The sequence below is a fragment of the Homo sapiens genome, chromosome 11 (assembly GCF_000001405.40).
Source record: "Homo sapiens chromosome 11, GRCh38.p14 Primary Assembly".
Classification (NCBI taxonomy): Eukaryota; Metazoa; Chordata; class Mammalia; order Primates; family Hominidae; genus Homo; species Homo sapiens.
In genome coordinates, this window is record NC_000011.10 from 99,620,111 (window position 1) to 99,640,491 (window position 20,381).

At 35.3% G+C, this 20,381-nt stretch overlaps 1 protein-coding gene and 1 long non-coding RNA gene across 13 annotated transcripts in view; both read left to right on the forward strand.

The window, feature by feature from the left end:
- CNTN5 (contactin 5) overlaps window positions 1-20,381 on the forward strand; it is a 1,337,937-nt gene that overhangs the window by 599,162 nt on the left and 718,394 nt on the right. The window lies entirely within an intron of this gene.
- On the forward strand, window positions 10,147-14,152 carry LOC107984431 (uncharacterized). The gene is made up of 2 exons (XR_001748534.1): window positions 10,147-13,422; window positions 13,500-14,152. It is a non-coding gene; the product is annotated as an uncharacterized LOC107984431 (long non-coding RNA).

Consider the following 20,381-nt stretch of genomic DNA (forward strand, 5'->3'; position numbering starts at 1 on the left):
TTTTAATATTTTTATAAGTGCTTAAAGTAAATCTGCAGGATACATATTGGTTAAGAGACGAAAAGTATTTGGCTGCAGAAGCTTGCCACTTTTCAGCGTTAAGCTTGTCCTCAAGGCTGAGTATAATTATTCCCAGTTGTGTTCATTGTTATTTTATCCATAATGAGTTCCAGAACCTCTTTTTAATATTTTTAACCTCGTCTTTATCTCTAAATGTACATTTAAAAATATCTTAATAGTATACAATTAAATAAAAAGTAAACATTCATTGCCAGCATATAATATTTAATTATAAATATTGCAAATTCTTATGTCTTTCATTTGACATTTCAGTAGTATTTTGCTTTCTGAGTAGAGTTAATGATTTAGCAGGATCTTAAAACTCTTTTTTTCTTTTCTTTTTTTTTTTTTTCTTTTTGCTCTTTAACTACATGAAAAGTAAAATGAATAAATAAGCTATGCCTAAAATAGTTAACTGCATGCCTGGTTTTAAAGGCTGATGGCCAAGCAGTTAGTATCAGCAGAAATCCCAGGAAAGGTAACAAGTTGCATATCAAATAGTGGGCATAGAAAATCAAACGATGGAAAGCTAGGCCCCCGCTCCCCCCCGGCCATCAGCAGCACACAATTTTATAGTGGTTTTCATTTTGAAAAAAATAGGGGACTCTCAAAAATCAGAAAGCAGGTTCCTGAGACTGTGAGTTATCAAGATATAAAACTGTGAAATCATCAAAGAGTTGAAAGTAAATATACACCAATAGAGACAGAAAAATAAAAACTTTAGAGAAATTTAAGCATCTAACTATACTTAGAATTTTTTTTCTTTACATTTTCTAATAAAATAATTCAATGGATACTTGTATGCCTATTTTTTTTCATTCAAACAATGTGAGGCACTATGTTAGGCAAAAGGAATACAAATAACACACATAAAGTCTACCTGCATGGAGTACGGCGTCTGTGGTAGAACGGGCAACTATAATACAAAGATACTTATTGTAAGGGCCCTGATAGGAGTAGGCACAGGATACTATGGAGCATGTAGGATTGGAACCATTGTTCAGTCATGGCCAGTGATGAAAGACTACCCAAAAGCATTGCATTTAAGTTGAGGTGTTAAATTCGAGTTAACCAGACAGAGCAGAAATGAGAAAAGCAATCAGAGGTAATGATGTGGAAAAGCCTGGAGTCAGGAGATGGCTAAATTGGAGTCAAAAAACAAATAAGCAAAACCAGTGTACTTGACTGATGAATATAACCAGATTGTAAATTTTAAGTTACACACAAAAATATATCAAAAAAGGATATTTTTTCATATTTAAAGTGAATTACTGTATAGAAAGATGCCAAGATTATTAAAACAGCTACAAGTAGTGAGAACACTGTTTTCATTTCAAGAATAATATATCTTTATAATACAAAAATAGTAAATATTAAAATATTTGCTTGCGATATTTGGGATAATTTTTGTACTGCTCTATAATCTATCACGAGGGCTTTGAGCAGGTGAACATTACTCCTAATTTTTGCATTGGTAATATTTTTCATTGGTAATAGAACAACATATGAATTTGTTCATAATATTTAAGATTGCAACTGTAACATTTCTTTATTAACCTTCTTTTAGTAGGCAAGTTATCCTGAAAATTAGAAAAGTTGATGAGCACACATGCGAAATTGTCTTCCCAGCACTCTTATATTTGCCCACATAAGTCTAATTGAAAAGTTAGAACATTTACCAGTGAGTATAGAATTATATGGCATGGTTCTATAGCATGCCTTTAAGCAGAAATGTTGACCACAATTTTTTTGTTGGCACTGCTATCCACTGACCATTTCCTAAATAGCTGACTGAATTCTCTAACATCATGGATAAAATCTGACTCGTTTTATCTGGAACACTTTAGAGCTACACACATTTGGGTGGTTAATATCTAATTGAGTATAAGCCCTTACACCTCCCCATACCAAGGCAGCCATTGAGCACATCTTCTATCTGTTGCCTAGTACTTGGCTAAGTGAAAATCCTTTTTCATTTACATAACTTTTTCATTCACATGTAGAATTCAGCAAGTTAATAACTGTATATTTGCAATAGCAGGTGACTGTTCCCCTAATTTTGTTGTATCATATATTCCAACGATTTAAAATAAAATTTACAACACGTGGCTGTCTTAAATGTAAACAAGCTTGCAATCAATTTGGTTTAATGAAATTAAAGCCCTATAGTATGACTAAAGAGAAGAAAGCTTTTGGTTCTTTCCTGAATTTGTAATGGAAACAACTGTTTTGGTCTAAAGAGATAATGAAAAACATGATTGTGCCAAAACTCTAGGAAAAGATTTATTCGGTATTAGTCAACAAAGTAGAAAATTCTGATTATCTGGGGAAGATTATAGAGACTGCATTTTAAAGTGGTGTGGTTTTTCAGGTACTTTATATTGCTCTTGTGTGTTAAGGTGTGGAATAGGATCAATCACTTTTTCAATGAAAGGAAGATTTAAGCATAGATGCTGAGCCAACTTCTCTGAGCTTTTAGTAGAATGCTAATTAACAGAGATGGTAATCTAAATTTCATTGTATTCTTAAATTTGGGAACAGGTGTTATAGCATTGATTATTCAATGAAAAGGCCCGTTCCCTGGAAAGGTTATACACATGACTTTTGCTAACTTGTTAATTGATTTTTCCCCATGGTATTCTGTTTCACCTTTTTATTAGAAAACTGAAAAAAAAAGTGCCAAGTGAACCTGCATGCTCTTTTTCAAAAAATTTTAATGGCTCTCCAAACATAACCCTCCAACATTACTGGGACCCTACACAGTCCTCTCGCTTTAACTTTAAATTAGTGTCTGTCTCAATTAGAATGACTCTACATTCTGTAAAAATCCTCGGGCTTCTCTTACTCTTGAAAGTAGCATTGCCTTCTTTGTTATAGATAGCAGTACATTGTTCATTTTTTTAAGATTCATTTCAATGTAACCTCTGTTTCATGAAGGTTTTCCTGATAATCCCCCTCATCCTAGTGATGTCTTCTGAGTTACAAGTGTCCTTGGTACCTATTTACCGCTTAAAATTATATTAGTTAGGGTCTTTTCAGCTGTAGGTGATAAAACCTCACTAAAAATAATTTATGCCACAAATTATGTGGGGAGTTATTAACCCAAGTTAGTGGGAAGTTCAAGGAGTAGCAATAACTTAAGCTCAACTGGATCCCAGGGCTCAAATTATATGGTCAAGATACTATCTTTGACTAAGTTTTGCTTTTCTTTGCATGAACTTGGCTCTCAGCCACTTCATCCCCAGTAGGATGGCACTGATAGTCAACAGTCTTGCCAAGCTTACATTCTTAGGAGGTAGCATCCATTTTCCCAAATATTTCAACAGTGTATCTAAGAAAATTGCTGATTACATTAGCATATTTTGACTTACATAACCTCTCCACAGATAAATTACTGTGACAAAGAAAATGAAGAAGGCCATATTCTCACCCACAAACCCAGGGTCTCGGGTCTAATCCAAGAATGTCATATGAGTTGAGAAAAGGGAGGCATAGTTCCATAAAAGAAATCTCAACTAGTTTTACCAACAAACAGTAGTGGAGAAAAAGAATGTTTAGCAGAGAAAGATACAAAAAATAAAAAAAAAAAGATAAAAGCTGTGCACTAAGGTATCTGTATTTATTTGTACTGATATATACTATTTGATTTATAAATTGATATTGGGGTGCGTAGTAACCTGGATAGCTATCAAAACCTTTGTTTCTGACATACATCATTTAAATAACTGTAGTTCTCATTTAAAAATACTGTTTAATGAAGATGTTACAGAAACTTGTAAATTAAGGGTGAGAAGTTGATATTCTGTCTTCAGTTGTTAACTTTGTTGATCAAAAGATAAAATTGTATCTCAATATACTAAGAACTAAAGAAAAGTTAACAGGGAAATTTGATGGTAATCTTCTGAACCCTCATTTGGTTTATCAGCATGTCTCCTCATAGGCTTATTCTCATTACAATAGTTTAATGAATGTATTTTGTACTGTGTCCTTAGGAATACTGAGTGGTCTTTGAAAGCAGAACCTATTTCTCGGTGCCCTTCTGTGTATGCATTGCCTAGATCAGTACCTTATCTATATAATAGTTGTTTTAATTGTTGATCCTTTTAAAAGTGAAACATTTTCAAATAAAAGTACGGCCTGTATTAAAGGATTATTTTGTTTACTTCTGCCTTAAGTAGTCTCACTGTTGACATTTGAGCAGTTTAGAAGCTGTCCTTCTAATTGGCTAGTCATTTCTTAGCTACTGATAATTTACAAGTTGCATTTGTTTTTTGAGCTCACTTCAAATAATGTTTGAGTTTCTAGGTAAGTGTTAATCCTCCTTATCAGATGAGGTGGTGGGTTTTGAGAGTGAACATAAAATTTGAGAAAAATAACAATTTTTGACCATATATTGCCAGAACAAGTTTTTGCTTTAGTCAATTTAGTTGACTAAAGTTCATTTTAGCTTTCTTTTCTCATTTTCAATAGATAGCTGTAACATTCTTATATATTTGAGAAAGCATAACATGGTGAAATCCATTCTGAGAAGCACCCTGCCACAGGCAGCACGGTTATTAAGCTCTTGGCAAATGTGACTGATACATGTCTGATGGTGATACACTGTTGCATGTACACAAACTTCATCTTTCTCCAAATATAGCTCATTGCTTCTGCAAATACAGGCCATCAGTCAGGAAGATAGAATATGGAGATGGTTTAGGAACCCATCACCCCTAAAGGGAGAATGTAGAAAAACAGCTCAAACCCTTGCCTGCTAGTGCTGACACCATGGTGTTTGTTTCACTTGACGTGATCAGAGAGCATTACCAGTTACCTGAGATGCTGTTTTGTTTACCATGTGGTGATTTCCATTTCATTCTGCCTAGTATCTAGTCCAGTGTTGGACACATGGCAGAAGAGTAAATAATTGTTCCAGAATTAATGAAAGATTATCTATTGGTTAAAGTCACCCTGCAGGACAGGAAATAGATTAAGTGCCTTTTTCTTTTATACTCATCTGCTATTGAATTTCACAGTGATCTATTGTTTGTCCCAAATCCATTTCTTGTTTGGCTTTTCTACTGAATGATGAGAATTAACTTTGTGGAAGAATGCAGGTGGGTGCTATGAGTGAGCAAACAACTTTTGTTACCTCTAAGTCACTAAGCCTCAAAGCAATTGTGTTTCAGAGGGATAAAAAAACACATTATTTGGAAAGTCATGAGTCTAAATAGAAGAGTAACATCACCAGTAACATAATTCTTTCCCCGTCAGTGGAGGTTCTACTAATACTGGTTATTTCCTAGTATATCTGAATTATTTTTAAATGTATATTCTGTGAGATTCAATACAGAAAAAGGAAATGTCAATTTTCATTATTGTAACAACTGTACCAAAGGGTTTCTTAATTAATGACCAAAATACATTAAGATATGTACATATTTTATCTAATCATTAGAAGTCATTTTCATTTCTCCAGAAATTTAACAGCTATTAATAATAAATGACTATGGAAGTACATCATTAAATCTTATAAAGACCTTTTTTCTGTACATACATCCCATCACTTTTCTTCAGGTGAGGTAATGAAACTATTGACTCCTTTATCATATTCAATTAAAAAGATATTGATTGAGAGAGTTTCATGAAAGATACTTTTTAGATATTTCACGATGACGTAAGAAGTAGAAAGATGAGTGAAATATGATCTTTATGTCAAGTCTCATGAGCTCATGATAAGGGCAAGATTATATATATATATATATATATATACACACACACACACACACACATAAATCTAATGAAATTTAGGATTAATATGTATTCTCAAAACACATAAAAGGAGATCAAAGCAGGGAAATATGTAAAATGGGAGCAGAAAGAGGCCAACTTCATGAAATTATGAGGGAGGCCGTGAAGGACACACAGAGATGTGTTAAGGGGTGAATGGGAGAATGGAGAGAAGCGCTGTAGAAATTGCAGGAAGAAGGAGTCATGCAAGCGAAGACATGCACAGAGGGTGACATTGAGCCCGGCTCTATGGATGGGGATTAATTCAGCCTGATGGAAACATAGATTTTCTGTAGGGGACTAATGAGAATTGACAGTGGAAAGGTTGCTTGGATCCAAATTGTTCAGTGCCTCCGACTTGGTAAAGAGGTTTTAAGAAAGTTGGAACATGAGAAACTGTTTTTTAACATCACGGAATAATAGAAGGACACTTTAAAGACTGTTTTAGTGGAAGTATTCAGAGTATTTATAGATTTTTTTTGCCTTGTTCATTTAGTTTGATGCAGCTGAAATGCCTCTTCTTTACATCTCTGTTTCTCCAAATCCTGCCTATCCCTCAAGTCCAGTGCAAATGTTGCCCTTCTTCAAGAAGTCTTCTATTGCCCCACCAGACTGAAGGAATCACTGCTAGAGATTGCAGTGCTGGCTTTCTGCATGTAATTGCAAACATTTTTAGTATGTCATTTTATTTTTTTTGTATAAAATACTATATATGAGGATAAAGATCTATGTAATCTAAAACATGAATCGCTGACATTTTAAGGGAGACCTAGAGAGTACTACGCTGTTAAGAACATACTGTGTATTTCAAAGTAGTTAGAAGAGAAAACTTGAAATATTCACAACACAGTGAAACGATACTCAAGGTGACAGATGCCCCAAATACTGACTTGATCATTATACATTCTATGCATACAGAAATGTATGTTCTTTTAGAAAGTATTCCTGTATAATTGCACAATGATCAAGAGGGTGAAGAAAATGGTAAATTAAAGTACCATTTCTCTGCTATATTATCCTTAGTCAGCTCAGCCTCATTGTTCAATTTTCCGTAGTTTCCTTTTCTCCATGTAGTTTCAGATGAGAATCTGCCAAGAAACATTCAAGGCTTGGAAGGGAGAAGTGGAGAGGTTAGTTGCAGAAAGATTGGTGGATAGAAGCCTGTCCCCTGAGAGGCTCGCTGTTCGTGTTGCAGGCAGCGAAAATTGTTGGTGCCCACACTCCATGAGATTGCCAAGATTTGTCACTGACCATGTGAATGACTAGATTCTAGCAGCTATATCCCTCGCCTTACTTTCTTAGCCCTTCCAACAGTTTTTAAAGCCTCTGTTTCTCCATATTGAACATTTCCAAACTGAACTACCTAAAGTGGCTTGTAGCTTTTATTTTTCTTAATGAAAATTTGACTGATACAACTTCTGTTACAAAAACTATTCTTACCATAGTTGAAGGTTTATCTGATGAGTAATACCAAACATGATTAATGTTACGAAATGGAAAAATATGGTTTTTAATGTGAGAAAAAACTACACCGCATTAAAATAGTAAACCTCAGTTCCTGCTACAAGTGAAAATAATTTAAAAATAACACTTCAAGGTTATCATGTAGACTATAACCCCAGTGGGGAATTTAGAAGAAATATGTGTCTCAGAATTAATTTATTATACGAGTAAGGAGAATGAGCTGGTTACACACCCACTCAAGTATTAAAATAAGCTCAGGTGGCATTAATTACCAAGCACTGCCCTAAAAATGTAGTTGGAGGCCAGAAAAAGCTCTTATGCACTTGTTGGTCTTTAATATCTGGGCCAGCCAGGCATTGAAAGGACAAGATCTGAAAGGATATAAATAGAGCACTGACAAGTCTTGTGCAGACAGGTTAAATGTTTTATTTATCTCAGGATTCCCCATATCATGCAGATTATTCCCCTGTTCCTAGGTTTGTTGACCATTCACCAAAATAAAATTGTGTATCAGATGGGTAACTTGGCTACTAGATCAGGGAAGCACATTCAGCTACAAATTGTAGGCATTTCATTCTTATTTGTGTTGGATTACTTTGACTTAAACTGAACATGTTTGGTAGAATGAACCCCTGGATTTAATCAGGCAAAAGTCTTAATGTATTCGTTGGTTACACAAGGTCTCTTGCAGCCTTAAAAGGAGCAATTAGAGTATTCATTTCAGCATCAACTTGGTTCAAATTGCAGACAAATTGAAGTCTAATTTATTCTATAATTTATCATCATTATCACTCACAATGTAACTAGGAAACTTAGTAGTAGTATTTTTAGGGTAAACATTTGACCCATCTAGAAATTTCATTACCTATGCATTGTATTTTCTTTAACTGTTTTTAAGAGACAACACTGCCTAAAAGGAAAGACAACTCTAGATTGAAACACCACATCTTTAATGAAAACATAACCTCACTTATTTCTGGTACTTGGGAAATTATGCCAGTGTTAAAGTAAAGCATCTGTTATTCCTGAGATCATGTTGCATTATTTAATCAACCTCCAATGCTTTGTAAAACTGGTCTCCCAGTTGGCTGCAATGTACCGTGTATTATATACAGGTATTAATTCAACCAAAACGTGTATAAAAATCTGAATTATGTCTATCTACACACACTTCCATTGGCCAAGAAACAGAAAGCTAAATAATGACACACACACACACACACACACACACACACACACACACACAGAAAGAGATAAATAATATTTATCAACATTGAATATAACAGCTCATAAATCTTATAGGTAAGAAAATATTTAGAGAGCTAACAAAGGGCACAGGGAAATAAACTGGCATCAATTACTTCTGTTTGATTTTTTTCCTACTTTGTCAGGGAAATGGAATTGCATCTAAATAATGGCCTTCCCTTATATTTTAGAAGCAAAGTTGTTTACAAACCTCAAACATGTAAAAGCTATAACCAGTTCATTTATAAATAATTTGCTGTTAAGATAATTGAGATAGTGGCACTTGCTTGTGAGAGCATTATTGGAAAAAATCTGGTAGACTCAGCACATATTCACAAGTACAAATTAAATACTAAAACAAACAAAAAGTCAACTTTTAAAATTATTAACTGCTCCTGAAATTTGCCTTACTAAATACTCACAGAAAAAACAATAAATATGTTGGGTCAATGCCAGAAATTACAGGCCTACTAATGAAAAGAATGTAAAGCTTATTACTGTTAGCATAGTAAGAGGCAAAAATGGTGATGATAATTTAATTTATTTTGTAGCCACAAAATTATTATATAAAAGATTGAATTAAGGCATTTTGGATTGTTCCTTTGCTTTAGAAACTTCAGATAAGAAATAACTAATTTAAAACAATGATATTTCACTAGGTGGTGAGATTTTATTCTTGTCTCTATTTGGACTAGAGTCCCAAAGTTTAAAAAGTAATTTCCTCTAAATTCTAAAAACCATTGTTTGAGGTCTTTACTCTTCTGGAACAGACATTTTCTCAGGATCTATTAAGAAATGGCCCAAATGGTCTTATTATCCTACAGTTATCTATGAATATCTTAACATCCTTGTTCCTAGTCTATACAGTTAAATAAGTATTAGCATATTAAGGGGATAAGATAAAGGAATGATCAGGGGTACAGGATTTATGGGGAAAGTATATTAAAAATAAAAATTATTAGATTTTTCTCATCATCAAAAAATTAACAATTGATGTACATATAATTTTAAAAAACCTTAATTCTTACTACTCGATGTTTATGTAAATATTCTGATGACACAATTATACAGAGCCTATTGCTAGGTTCCGTAAAAATATAAAATGAGATACTCAATTCATTTCTTAGCATTTTGTATATATAATTACAGTCAAATAAATGTTAGAGTGGAGACTGATTTGTATTATATTTTAATATGGTAATATTTGATATAAAATATAAAAATACTTGATATAAAATATTTGATAAAAATAATACTTGATATAAAATATTTATGCTCAGATTATTATTAAATAAAAACATTCCAATAGATATATCCAAATTAGTTTTAATTTAATTGAAGTGAATTGATGATACGCATGGATTTACACGGTGGGAGATATAAAAACAAAACAATTGGTAACTCCCATGCTAGACTGAAAAAAATCAAGTGATTTAAATGCCTATCAGTAGGTATATAATTAAATAAATTACGATAAAATAATTCATTAAAAATAAAGATGGATTTGTACTGATTAAAAATAATAATTGCAAAAATATTTGGTTTTAAGACAAATTTCAAAATGTACTTTGCTTATGGATGTGTGTGTGTATATACATATATATATATATATATATATGTATATACACATAATATGGTTGGAAAGATCATTTAAAAAGTTAACAGTAATTGCCTCTGGAGAGCAATTTTCAGGACATCAGGGTGGCAGGGTTTATAAGGAGACTTTCCTTTAGTCTAATCTCTCCTATGTTGATTTCTTCTAATCATGTGAACATGGTTTACATTAATTTTCTGACCATGGATTCATAGGTGACTCAAATGATTACATTAGCTGTCTTTCACCACCCCGCACCCCCATAGCAACTATCATGCCTCACCCCCCGTTTCACACAGTCCAGGCACATGGCCACATGTGATAAAGAACACAAATTTCTCAAGACAAAAATCTTCCTATTTCTTAGTCACAATTCAGGTCTGCTTTTAATATTTAACTATTAATTCTACGTGCTGGAGTTCGCAATTTACTTCAACACATTCTCTGTCCGGGGTATACCCTTGGGCCTCAGTTATTTGTGGATTAGACAGTAGAAACTTTATATCAAGTCCTTGACCAATCTCTTAATTATTTACCATGTCAAAGATTCTTCAGTGTTGTTGCTTTTATTGCACCCTTGTGGACCATTTGCTAAAAAGCAATTTGCTATTTTGGAGATAAATTAGCTTTATTACTTCCTGTTCATGCACATTGAAAAGCACCGTGGACTGTTATTTTCCCTAACTCATCCCTCATCCTCAGCATCAATGCATCTATTAAATCTAAAGGCGTTTATTTTTCACATCATAAAAAGGTAGAGTTAGGTTATTTGTCCTGACTAAAAACACAAAATACTTTTGCTAATTTATCCTGCAGAGTTGCTGGGTTTTATTTCCATGAAATTAATCATGACAAACCAACAAGCAAAGAATCACACTGAGTGCTTTTCAGTTTATTGAAATACAGTGTTAGTTTATTCTTTATGTATATGGAGTATAAGATTTTGAGATTTAATACTGTACTAAATTTCTAGAAACATAGAATTATTAAAACATTTGATTTTTAATAAGAGATAATGGATACAAATATTCCTCTTACCTTAAATAACTTTGATGTGTTTCAGACCCATATAATGAGCCATTTATGTACAGTGTAATATCAACCTGTATAGTAATAGCATTAGTAAAATACAGAGTGCACTTTCAGGGTACTTAACAAACTGCTTGAATTAGTAAAGAACGAAATCAATAATAATATAAATGTTTAATTATAAAAACATTATTGAAAATAATTATAATGCTGAAAATTGTAGTTAAACCAAACTGTTTATTATAGACTAAAGTTTATTGTATTCTATTTATTTCCTTTTAATTCAGTTGTATTTACTTTTTTGTGATAAATGTTACATTGCTAAGCAGTAGTAAGTTTTTAGTAATATCATGTCAGTCATTTCAAATACTTTTTTTTTTACTTTGTTAAAATAAAGCTGACTAATTGGTATTGTCACACTCATTGGGAAAACACACACAAAGACACACACATACAAACTGAGGTTCAGAGAAGTTAAATGATTTGTATAAGATAACAGCAAGTAACTGGAATCTAGTAGTCTCCCCTTATCAGCAGTTTTGCTTTCTGTGGTTGTAGTTACCTGTGGTTACTTGTGGTCTGAAAATAGGTGAATACAATACAAGTAGGTATTTTGAGAGACAGACCACATTCGTGTAACTTTTATTACAGTATCTTGTTATAATTGTTCTAGTTTTATTGTCAGTTATTGTTGACTTCTTACTGTACCTAACTTATAAATTAAACTTTATCATAGGAAGAACATATGTATAGGAAGAAACATAGTAATATAGAAGGTTTGGTGCATCCATGGTTTCAGGTATCCCCTGGGGGACTTGGAAGGTATACCCTGCGAATAAGTGGGGATACTGTATCTGAAATACAAACTAAGATTTGTCTGATTATACAAACCATCTTAAAATTGTCTTACAATTTAGTGCTAAAATGTAATAATGTACAAATATGTACATGTAATCTAATGTAGCTAAATATGTTAATTGAAATAAAATTATATACTGTAAATGTTCATAGTAATTATCATTAAATTTGTAATAATGCAAGTATCTTTATAGCTTTTCTCAACTGAACTGCAACTAGAGTTCTGTGATTATGCTTAGGGTAAACATGTCATTTTTCCCATTTCACAGCTAAAGTACAGGGGTTGGAACAGTCAGCCAAGGTGAGGATGATTTTGAATGACTCCAAAGGCCCAGGATTACACAGACAGAAATCTAAGGGTTGTGTCTTACTAGGGAGTCCTCTACTCTTGAAATCCTTTTCTTTCTTTACTTGTACCCCAAATTGATTTTTACTCTAATACTGCAGGCTTGTGGCCTGAACTCATGGCTTTCAACTTCACAAAATTGAAAGTAGAGAATATTTAAAAATTAGTTTCCCACATATATTTAACAGTGTTATTAACCACTGAATCAGTAGAGTCTAGATCTAAATGGTATAGATCCAGTAATTTTTAATGTTCCCATTATGTATAGAGAAAAGTCTGAGATGTTGTTTTGCATTGATTGGCATTAGATTTTCAGATTTGAAAAGTTTTTGGGGTAAATTATTCAGTTTCCATATATTCAGAAGAGTTTTGTTGAAACCATCCAAATGTCCTTAATTACTTAAGGTATCTTCTTGGGGGGGTTACAAAAATAGTCATCTTTGAGTTCTGAGACAAAATACTGCAAAATAATGGATTTATTCATTATCTGAACGGAAATGTAACTGTTTGCATGCTAAAAAGATACACCCTCTCCCTAAGTTAGTTCACAATTTTTAGGCATGAAGGACTGTAAAAGTATGAGTCAGGTCATGGTGAAATGGGGAATCAGCTCCCATTTGAAACCTCCAGAAATAACTCTCCTCCAAGTAAGTGGCTACAGAATTCTTAAAAAGAGGAAAGAACTTTCAGTTTCTCAGTGGCCATTTTTTATTGCATAATAAACCTGACAAGAATAGACTTCTATTCCTAGAATTGTCAATTTGTCATATCTGATGAGCACAAAGTGTCCTATTTTTAAACTGACGCATACAGGCCTTGCTCCTGCTATGCCTGCATTGTATAGTAATGGCATATTTAGAAATACTGTACAATAGAAATATTTCTGCTAATTTTCAGATCTAAAAAGGAGACATTTCTCACATGTCTAATAAAGAGCAAGGCTCTACTGAATATTAGTCAGAAAAATTTGCCCAGTATCATTGGATATTGCGATACATATTTATCAAGCAGCTTCTACAAGCAAGATCATCTACCAGGTACTTCATACTGAAAGGTGACATAAGACAAAATAAATATTTATCAAGCAGCTTCTACAAGCAAGATCATCTACCAGGTACTTCATACTGAAAGGTGGCATAAGACAAAACAACAACAGTAAAACACCCAGAAAAGTAAACCATTTAATAGAGATATACCCTCGGTGCTATAAAGCCACAAAAGAAAAGCCCATTGCTTTCTCCTGATCAGGAAAAGTGCAGCAATATTAGGGTTTATGTTTGTTTGTTTGTTTAAGGTTTCACATAAGATGTGTAGAGCTTTTGAAATACTGTGAGAAAACATGGGCAAAGTGAGCTAGGCAAGAAGCATCTAAAATGCACATAGGCCTGGAAGGAGCATGACCCACATGGGAGACAAGAATTTCAGGAGAGAGTACAGGACACGTGTGCCAGCGGGCTGCAGATCAGGTCGAAGAGAAACGTGAGGTCCAGATACAGCAAAAGTTTAATACTGCTTGAGAGGTTAGCATACACTTTGTCTCATTCCAAAGCAATAAAGAGTGTTAAGTAAGGAAGAGATCCTCGGGTTTGTGTTTAGAAAAGTTAGGCAGTAATATGCAGGATGTATTGGAAGTGGACTTGGGAGATTAAAAGCAAGAAAATAGTGTTAGAAAGTAGTTTGCATGGTTGAAGAAAAAGTTGTAAGGGCTAAATTCAAAACCTGATTAACGTCTACACTTCATGGGTATTTAAAGATAAATGTGTACAACTTTAAATGGGATAAAATAACCAGAGAAGAAGAGGGAACAGTGATGAAAGTCAAGGGATGAGGGAGATTTAAGGAAATACAGTGTTCACCAGTGCACATATTACTAACAAGTCAAATTAGATGAAAGTGGACAGGCTTTATTGGATTTAGAAATTCTGAAGGTGTTTGATTATTGCTGGCAAAATTTCGGGGGAAAGGTAGAGAGGGAAGACTGACTGCAGTGGGCACGAACGGTGTCTGAAGGTTGTTTCTATGAATAAGATATACTAAAATATTTACTTGTATTTTAATCTTGGCCCTGATACTTAGTACTTGATTCTGTCTATTTAAATGGAAATATGGTTGAATTAGACTATGCTAATGTTCCTGTTAGTCTCTCTTAGTCTAATCTATACACTACTCCTCAGATAAGCATCTGAAAGCACCCTCCCTCTGTCAAACACCTTACATTTGTGAATGTATTCCTAAGGATTAGGAACTCTGCCCAGTCTCTTCTCTGTCACTCCACTTTGTACTTTCCACAGTCAGTATTGGGCAAGAACGGAGATGGATTGGAACAGAAGTAGGCAAGATGACAGCTCTCCTGGTGAAAGGTGACCCGTGTCATCAATGTCCCTCCACCCATAGCACCTGTTTGTTCCACCCTATTGTCTAGCAAGAGACAGATATGGAACTCTCACCGGTGTAATTAACGTAAGGTTTGCTCATTGCAATGAAAATAGGAAATAGATAAATAGAAGACAAAATATATACTAATATCTGTATACATTTGTGGGGAATAAAGAAGGAATGCTTCTCACACCATTAATGTTTATTCCTGGACAGAAGTGGAAATGGTGTGGGTTTGACTAGAAAGAGAAGTCTTTTACTTTTCACTTGCTATAATTGCTTTTCTCCTTTTTAATTTTCAGTATTTTTCAAACAAAATCTTCAACATGTAGGTTACTTATGTTGATATATAAATGTGAAAATTACAGAGTGTTCTGAATCAAAAGCATGAAAATCAGCAATTGCAAACTTGGGAGATCAGCACACCCTCATGGAAATCTCAGTTTAGCTATTTTTTGCTTATGCGAGTCAGTTAAATTCTTTGAGGCCCAGTTTCTTTAAGATGAGGAAAATGTTAACAAAATTTCACAGTTCCTTTAAAATTAGAGATTACATATTTTTAAACAGCCTGGACAGCGTAGAGCAGGAGCTTAGCAAATGGTAGATGATAAAATTGGAAATCCTAGCAGAAGTAATAAAACAAATTGAGCCTACTACATATGACTGCTCTACTCCCTACCTTTCTGCTTGCCAATTCCTGAGTCGAGGAAGGTTTTTGTGTTCTGAGTAGTAACCTCTGCAGGGAATTTGAATCCCAGGGATGTGGTGGCATTTTTATTTTTACAAATATATTTATCAGCTATGTGTATAGGTGTGAAAACAAAGAGGAGAGGGAGAAATGTCCTTTAAATGACAGCATCCCTAGGGAAAATGACAAGCTCATGGTAGGTAAATAAATTATGTTTATGTATTTGTATGTTCATGTCAGTTTTGTTACTATTTTCAAGCTGGCATTTGGGGGTTCACAGCTTTCAGTTTATTACAGTCACTTTATTTATAAAAGTATAAAACCCAGGAAAAAATTTCCCAAGTGGTGCACTAAACCAGTACTCTGAAGCAAGAAAAAGCTTTTGTCTGCTTTCTTTGACTATTTGCAATGGAAAATGAATTTGAAAAAAGAATTAGAAGCCTTTTTACATGGATAAAATTTAATTAAAATTTATTTTTAGTCTCTTGAATATGCTTCATTCTTAAAAAAGGACTGAAGTAGAAAACTATATAACTAGGAAAGCATTTTTTTTTAATGTTCTGTAAATTCCTGACCTAGGAAAATAGATACCCATATGCATATACCAATGGACACTTCATAAATCATCTAAGAACAAAAAAGAATGGGAATTCTACTTTTATCTTTAACTATTTTTACATTTTCAGTACTATAGTTATATGGGGGAGATTGGGTGGCCTAGCCAAATAATTACCCAATGAAAGTGAAAAAGCATCTTCCCTAATATATGCCAAGATATTTAGACATAGTTTGACATGAGCATAGAGGAAAGTTGTTAATCAAATGAGTTCTTTTTTTTTTTCTTTTTTTTTGTTGTTGTTGTTTGCAATTTGCTCTTCAGATCCACTTTCCACCCTTTTCTGTTCTGGCCTATCAGTGTTCTAGGAGGCTGGGTCTTTGTCCTGTACCAATGACCTTTCTTTTCCTTTTCCTCCAGGTTTTATTTGGGTTGATGCTATCAGTGACAGGAGTAGAAGATTGAAGGGCAAAAGAAATGTAGGATTAGAATATTAGTTCCCTGGTGTCCTCCAGACCAAGTCACTGTTAGTTGCCTGTGTTCTTCTACTAAAGGCCAAAACTTGATCAGGCAACTCTTCATGTAGCTGTATTTTCCAGCATAGTAACCTGTTAGGTTAAAAAGTAAATGACTCAGCTGGGCGCGGTGGCTCATACCTGTAATCTCAGCACTTTGGGAGGCCAAGGTGGGGGGATGGACGAGATCAGGAGATCAGGACGATCCTGGCCAACATGGTGAAACCCGTCTCTACTAAAAATACAAAAATTAGCTGGGCATGGCGGCACATGCCTGTAATCCCAGCTATTGGGGAGGCTGAGGCAGGAGAATCACTTGAGCCCAGGAGGCAGAGGTTGCAGTGAGCGAAGATCATGCCACTGCACTCCAGCCTGGTGACAGAGCTAACTTTGTCTCAAAAAAAAAAAAAAAAAAAAAAAAAAAAAAAGTAAATGACTCTGTATTGCAGAATAGGCACTGTCACTTTGATGGTTTCCTATATTCTAGTATCTCTTTGGCAAAGTGTCCTATTATTTAATGATAATAATCATTAAAATGTAATTGTTTTCTACCTTACCCTGTCCAAATTCTGAGACAGTTTATAGTAGCAAAATTTTAGAAACAACTTAAACCATTAGCTATGAGTAAAGTATGCTAAGCCTCATAAATAATATATAGCCATATAGAATACCTTATAGCATATAAATGAATAAAGTAGATGTACACAGATCAACATGGATGAATCACAATGTCATGATATCAAAGGAAAAAAATTAGCGTTGTATATAGCATAATACTTGTATAAATTGAATAAACATAAGCAAACACATCACATGGCAATCATGTACATGTATACATAGAGGGTGAATTGGGAGAACTCACATCCAGCTCATCTTGGAGAATTTCAGGTGGTTGATGAAGACTGTGCCAATTACTAAAAAATAAAGTTACATATAGGGGTTACTGAAAAATAATTTTAAAAATCAGTATTTTTTTAAGTAGTAGGAAATGGGCATTTCTCATATTCTTTTTAGTTTGTTTTTAAACTTCTCACGTTTTTTGAGTATATTCACATAATGTCAAAAATAGAAAAGGTGCTCAAAAATATATAACTATTTATTTTACTTTAAAATTAACTATTATATCAGTCTTGCCTTTACATTTCCTATTTGTCTCTACTTATTACTTATATATAATATTATCTACATATTATTTTATACATATTCAAAAGACTCCATTTTATATTCATAGCTCTGGTTTTAATCCTCCTGTGTCTCTGAGCCAGCCTTTCAGCATTTCCTCTCTTTAGCCTAGCCTTCATGTTAAGTGTTAAGAGGGCTCTTGTAGGTTGTTTTTATTTTTGGTTTATAGTCATGCATCTCATAATGATGTTTCAGTCAATGGTGGACCACATATGTAACAGTGGTCCCTTAAGATTATTGTATTTGTTTTTACACTGCTGATAAAGACATACCTGAAACTGAGAAACAAACAAAGGTTTAATTGGACTTACAGTTCCACGTACCTTGTGAGGCCTCAGAATCTTGGCGGGAGGTGAAAGGTTCTTTGTACATGGTGGTGGCAAGAGAAAATGAGGAAGCAAAAGCAGAAATCCCTAATAAACCCACTGAATCTCATGAGACTTACTATCATGAGACTAGCACGGGAAAGACCAGCCCCCATGATTCATTTGACCTCCCACTGGGTCCCTTCCACAACATGTGGGAATTCTGGGAGATAAAATTCAAGTTGAGATTTGAATGGGGACACAGCCAAACCATATCATTCTGCCCTGACCCCTCCAAACCTCATGTCCTTGCGTTTCAAAACCAGTCATGCCTTCTCAACAGTCCCCCAAACTCTCGACTCATTTGGGCATTAACCCAAAAGTCCAAAGTCCAAAGTCTCATCTGAGTCAAGTCTCATCTTAACTCTTCTGCCTATGAGCCTGTAAAATCAAAAGCAAACTAGTTACTTCCTAGATACAATGGTGGTACAGGCAATTGGGTAAATATAACCATTCCCAACGGGAGAAATCGGCTAAAACAAAGGGGTTTTCAGGGTCCATGCAAGTCCAAAATCCAGCAGGGCAGTCCAATTTTAAAGCTCCAAAATGATCTCCTTTGACTCCATATCTCATACCCAGGTTACACTGATGTAAGAGATGGGTTCCCATGATCTTGGCCCTGTGGCTTTCCAGGGTACAGCCTCCCTCCCAGCTGCTTTCACGGGCTGCGTTTGAGTGTCTGTGGCTTTTCCAGGTGCATGGTGCAAGCCATCAGTGGATCTACTGTTCTGGGGTCTGGAAGATGGTGGCCCTCTTCTCACAACTCTACTAGGCAGTGCCCCAGTAGGGACTTTGTGAAGGGGCTCCAACCCCACATTTCCATCTGTACTGCCCTAGAAGAGATTCTCGTGAGGTCCCTGTCCCTGCAGCAAACTTTTGCCTGTGCATCCAAGAGTTTCCATATATCTTCTGAAATCTAGGCAAAGGTTCCCAAACCTCAATTCTTGACTTCTGTGTACCTTCAGGCTCAAGACCACGTGGACACTGCCAAGGCTTGGGGCTTCCACCCTCTGAAGCCACAGCCTGAGCTGTACATTGGCCTTTTCAGCCACACCTGGAGTGGCTGGGACACAGAGCACCAAGTCCCTTGGCTGCACACAACACAGAGACCCTGGGCCTGGCCCATGAAACCACTTTTTCCTCCTGGGCCTCTGGGCCTGTGGTGTGAGGAATGGCCGTGAAGCTCTCTGACATGGCCTGGAGATATTTTCCCCATAGTCTTGAGGATGAACATTAGGCTGCTTGGTACTTATGCAAATTTTTGCAGCCAGCTTAAATTTCTTCCCAGAAAATGGGTTTTTATTTTCTATTGCATAGTCAGGCTGCAAATTTTCCAAACTTGTATGCTCTGCTTCCCTTATAAAACAATGTATTTAACAGCACCCAAGTCACCTTTATGTTTTTTTTTTTTTTTTTTTTTTTGAGACGGAGTTTTATCTTGCTTCCCAGGCTGGAGTGCAATGGTGCAATCTCGGCTCACTGAGGCCTCTGCCTCCTGGGTTCAAGCGATTCCCCTGCCTCAGCCTCCCAAGTAGCTGAGATTACAGGCATGAGCCACTACGCCCAGCTAATTTTTTGTATTTAGTGGAGATGAGGTTTCACCATGTTGGTCAGGCTGGTCTGAAACACCAGACCTCAGGTGATCCACCCACCTCAGCCTCCCAAAGTGCTGGGATTACCGGTGTGAGCCACCACGTCAGTCCCAAGTCAGCTTTTGAATGCTTTGTTGCTTAGAAATTTCTTCTGCCAGATACCCTAAATCATCTCTCTCAAGTTCAAAGTTCCACAAATCTCTAGGGCAGGGACAAAATGCCGCCAGTCTCTTTGCTAAAATGTTACCAAGATTCACCTCTGCTTCAGCTCCCAGGAAGTTTCTCATCTCCATCTGAGACCACCTCAGCCTCGATTTTATTGTTCATATTACTATCAGCATTTTGGACAAAGCCACTCAACAAGTCTCTAAGAAGTTCCAAACTCTCCCACATTTTCCTGTCTTCTGAGCCCTCCAAACTGTTCCCAGTTCTGCCTGTCACCCATTTCCAAAATTGCTTCCATGTTTTTGGGTATCTTTTCAGCAAGGCCCCTCTCTACTGGTACCGATACACTGTATTAGTTTGTTTTCACCCTGCTGATAAATTCATATACAAAACTGGGAAACAAAAATTTAATTGGACTTATAGTTCCATATGCCTGGCAAGGCCTCTGAATTATGGTGGGAGGCAAAAGAGAAAATGAGGAAGAAGCAAAAGCGGAAACCCCTGATAAACCCATCAGATCTCATGTGACTTATTCACTACCATGAGAATAGCAAGGGAAAGACCAGCCCCCATG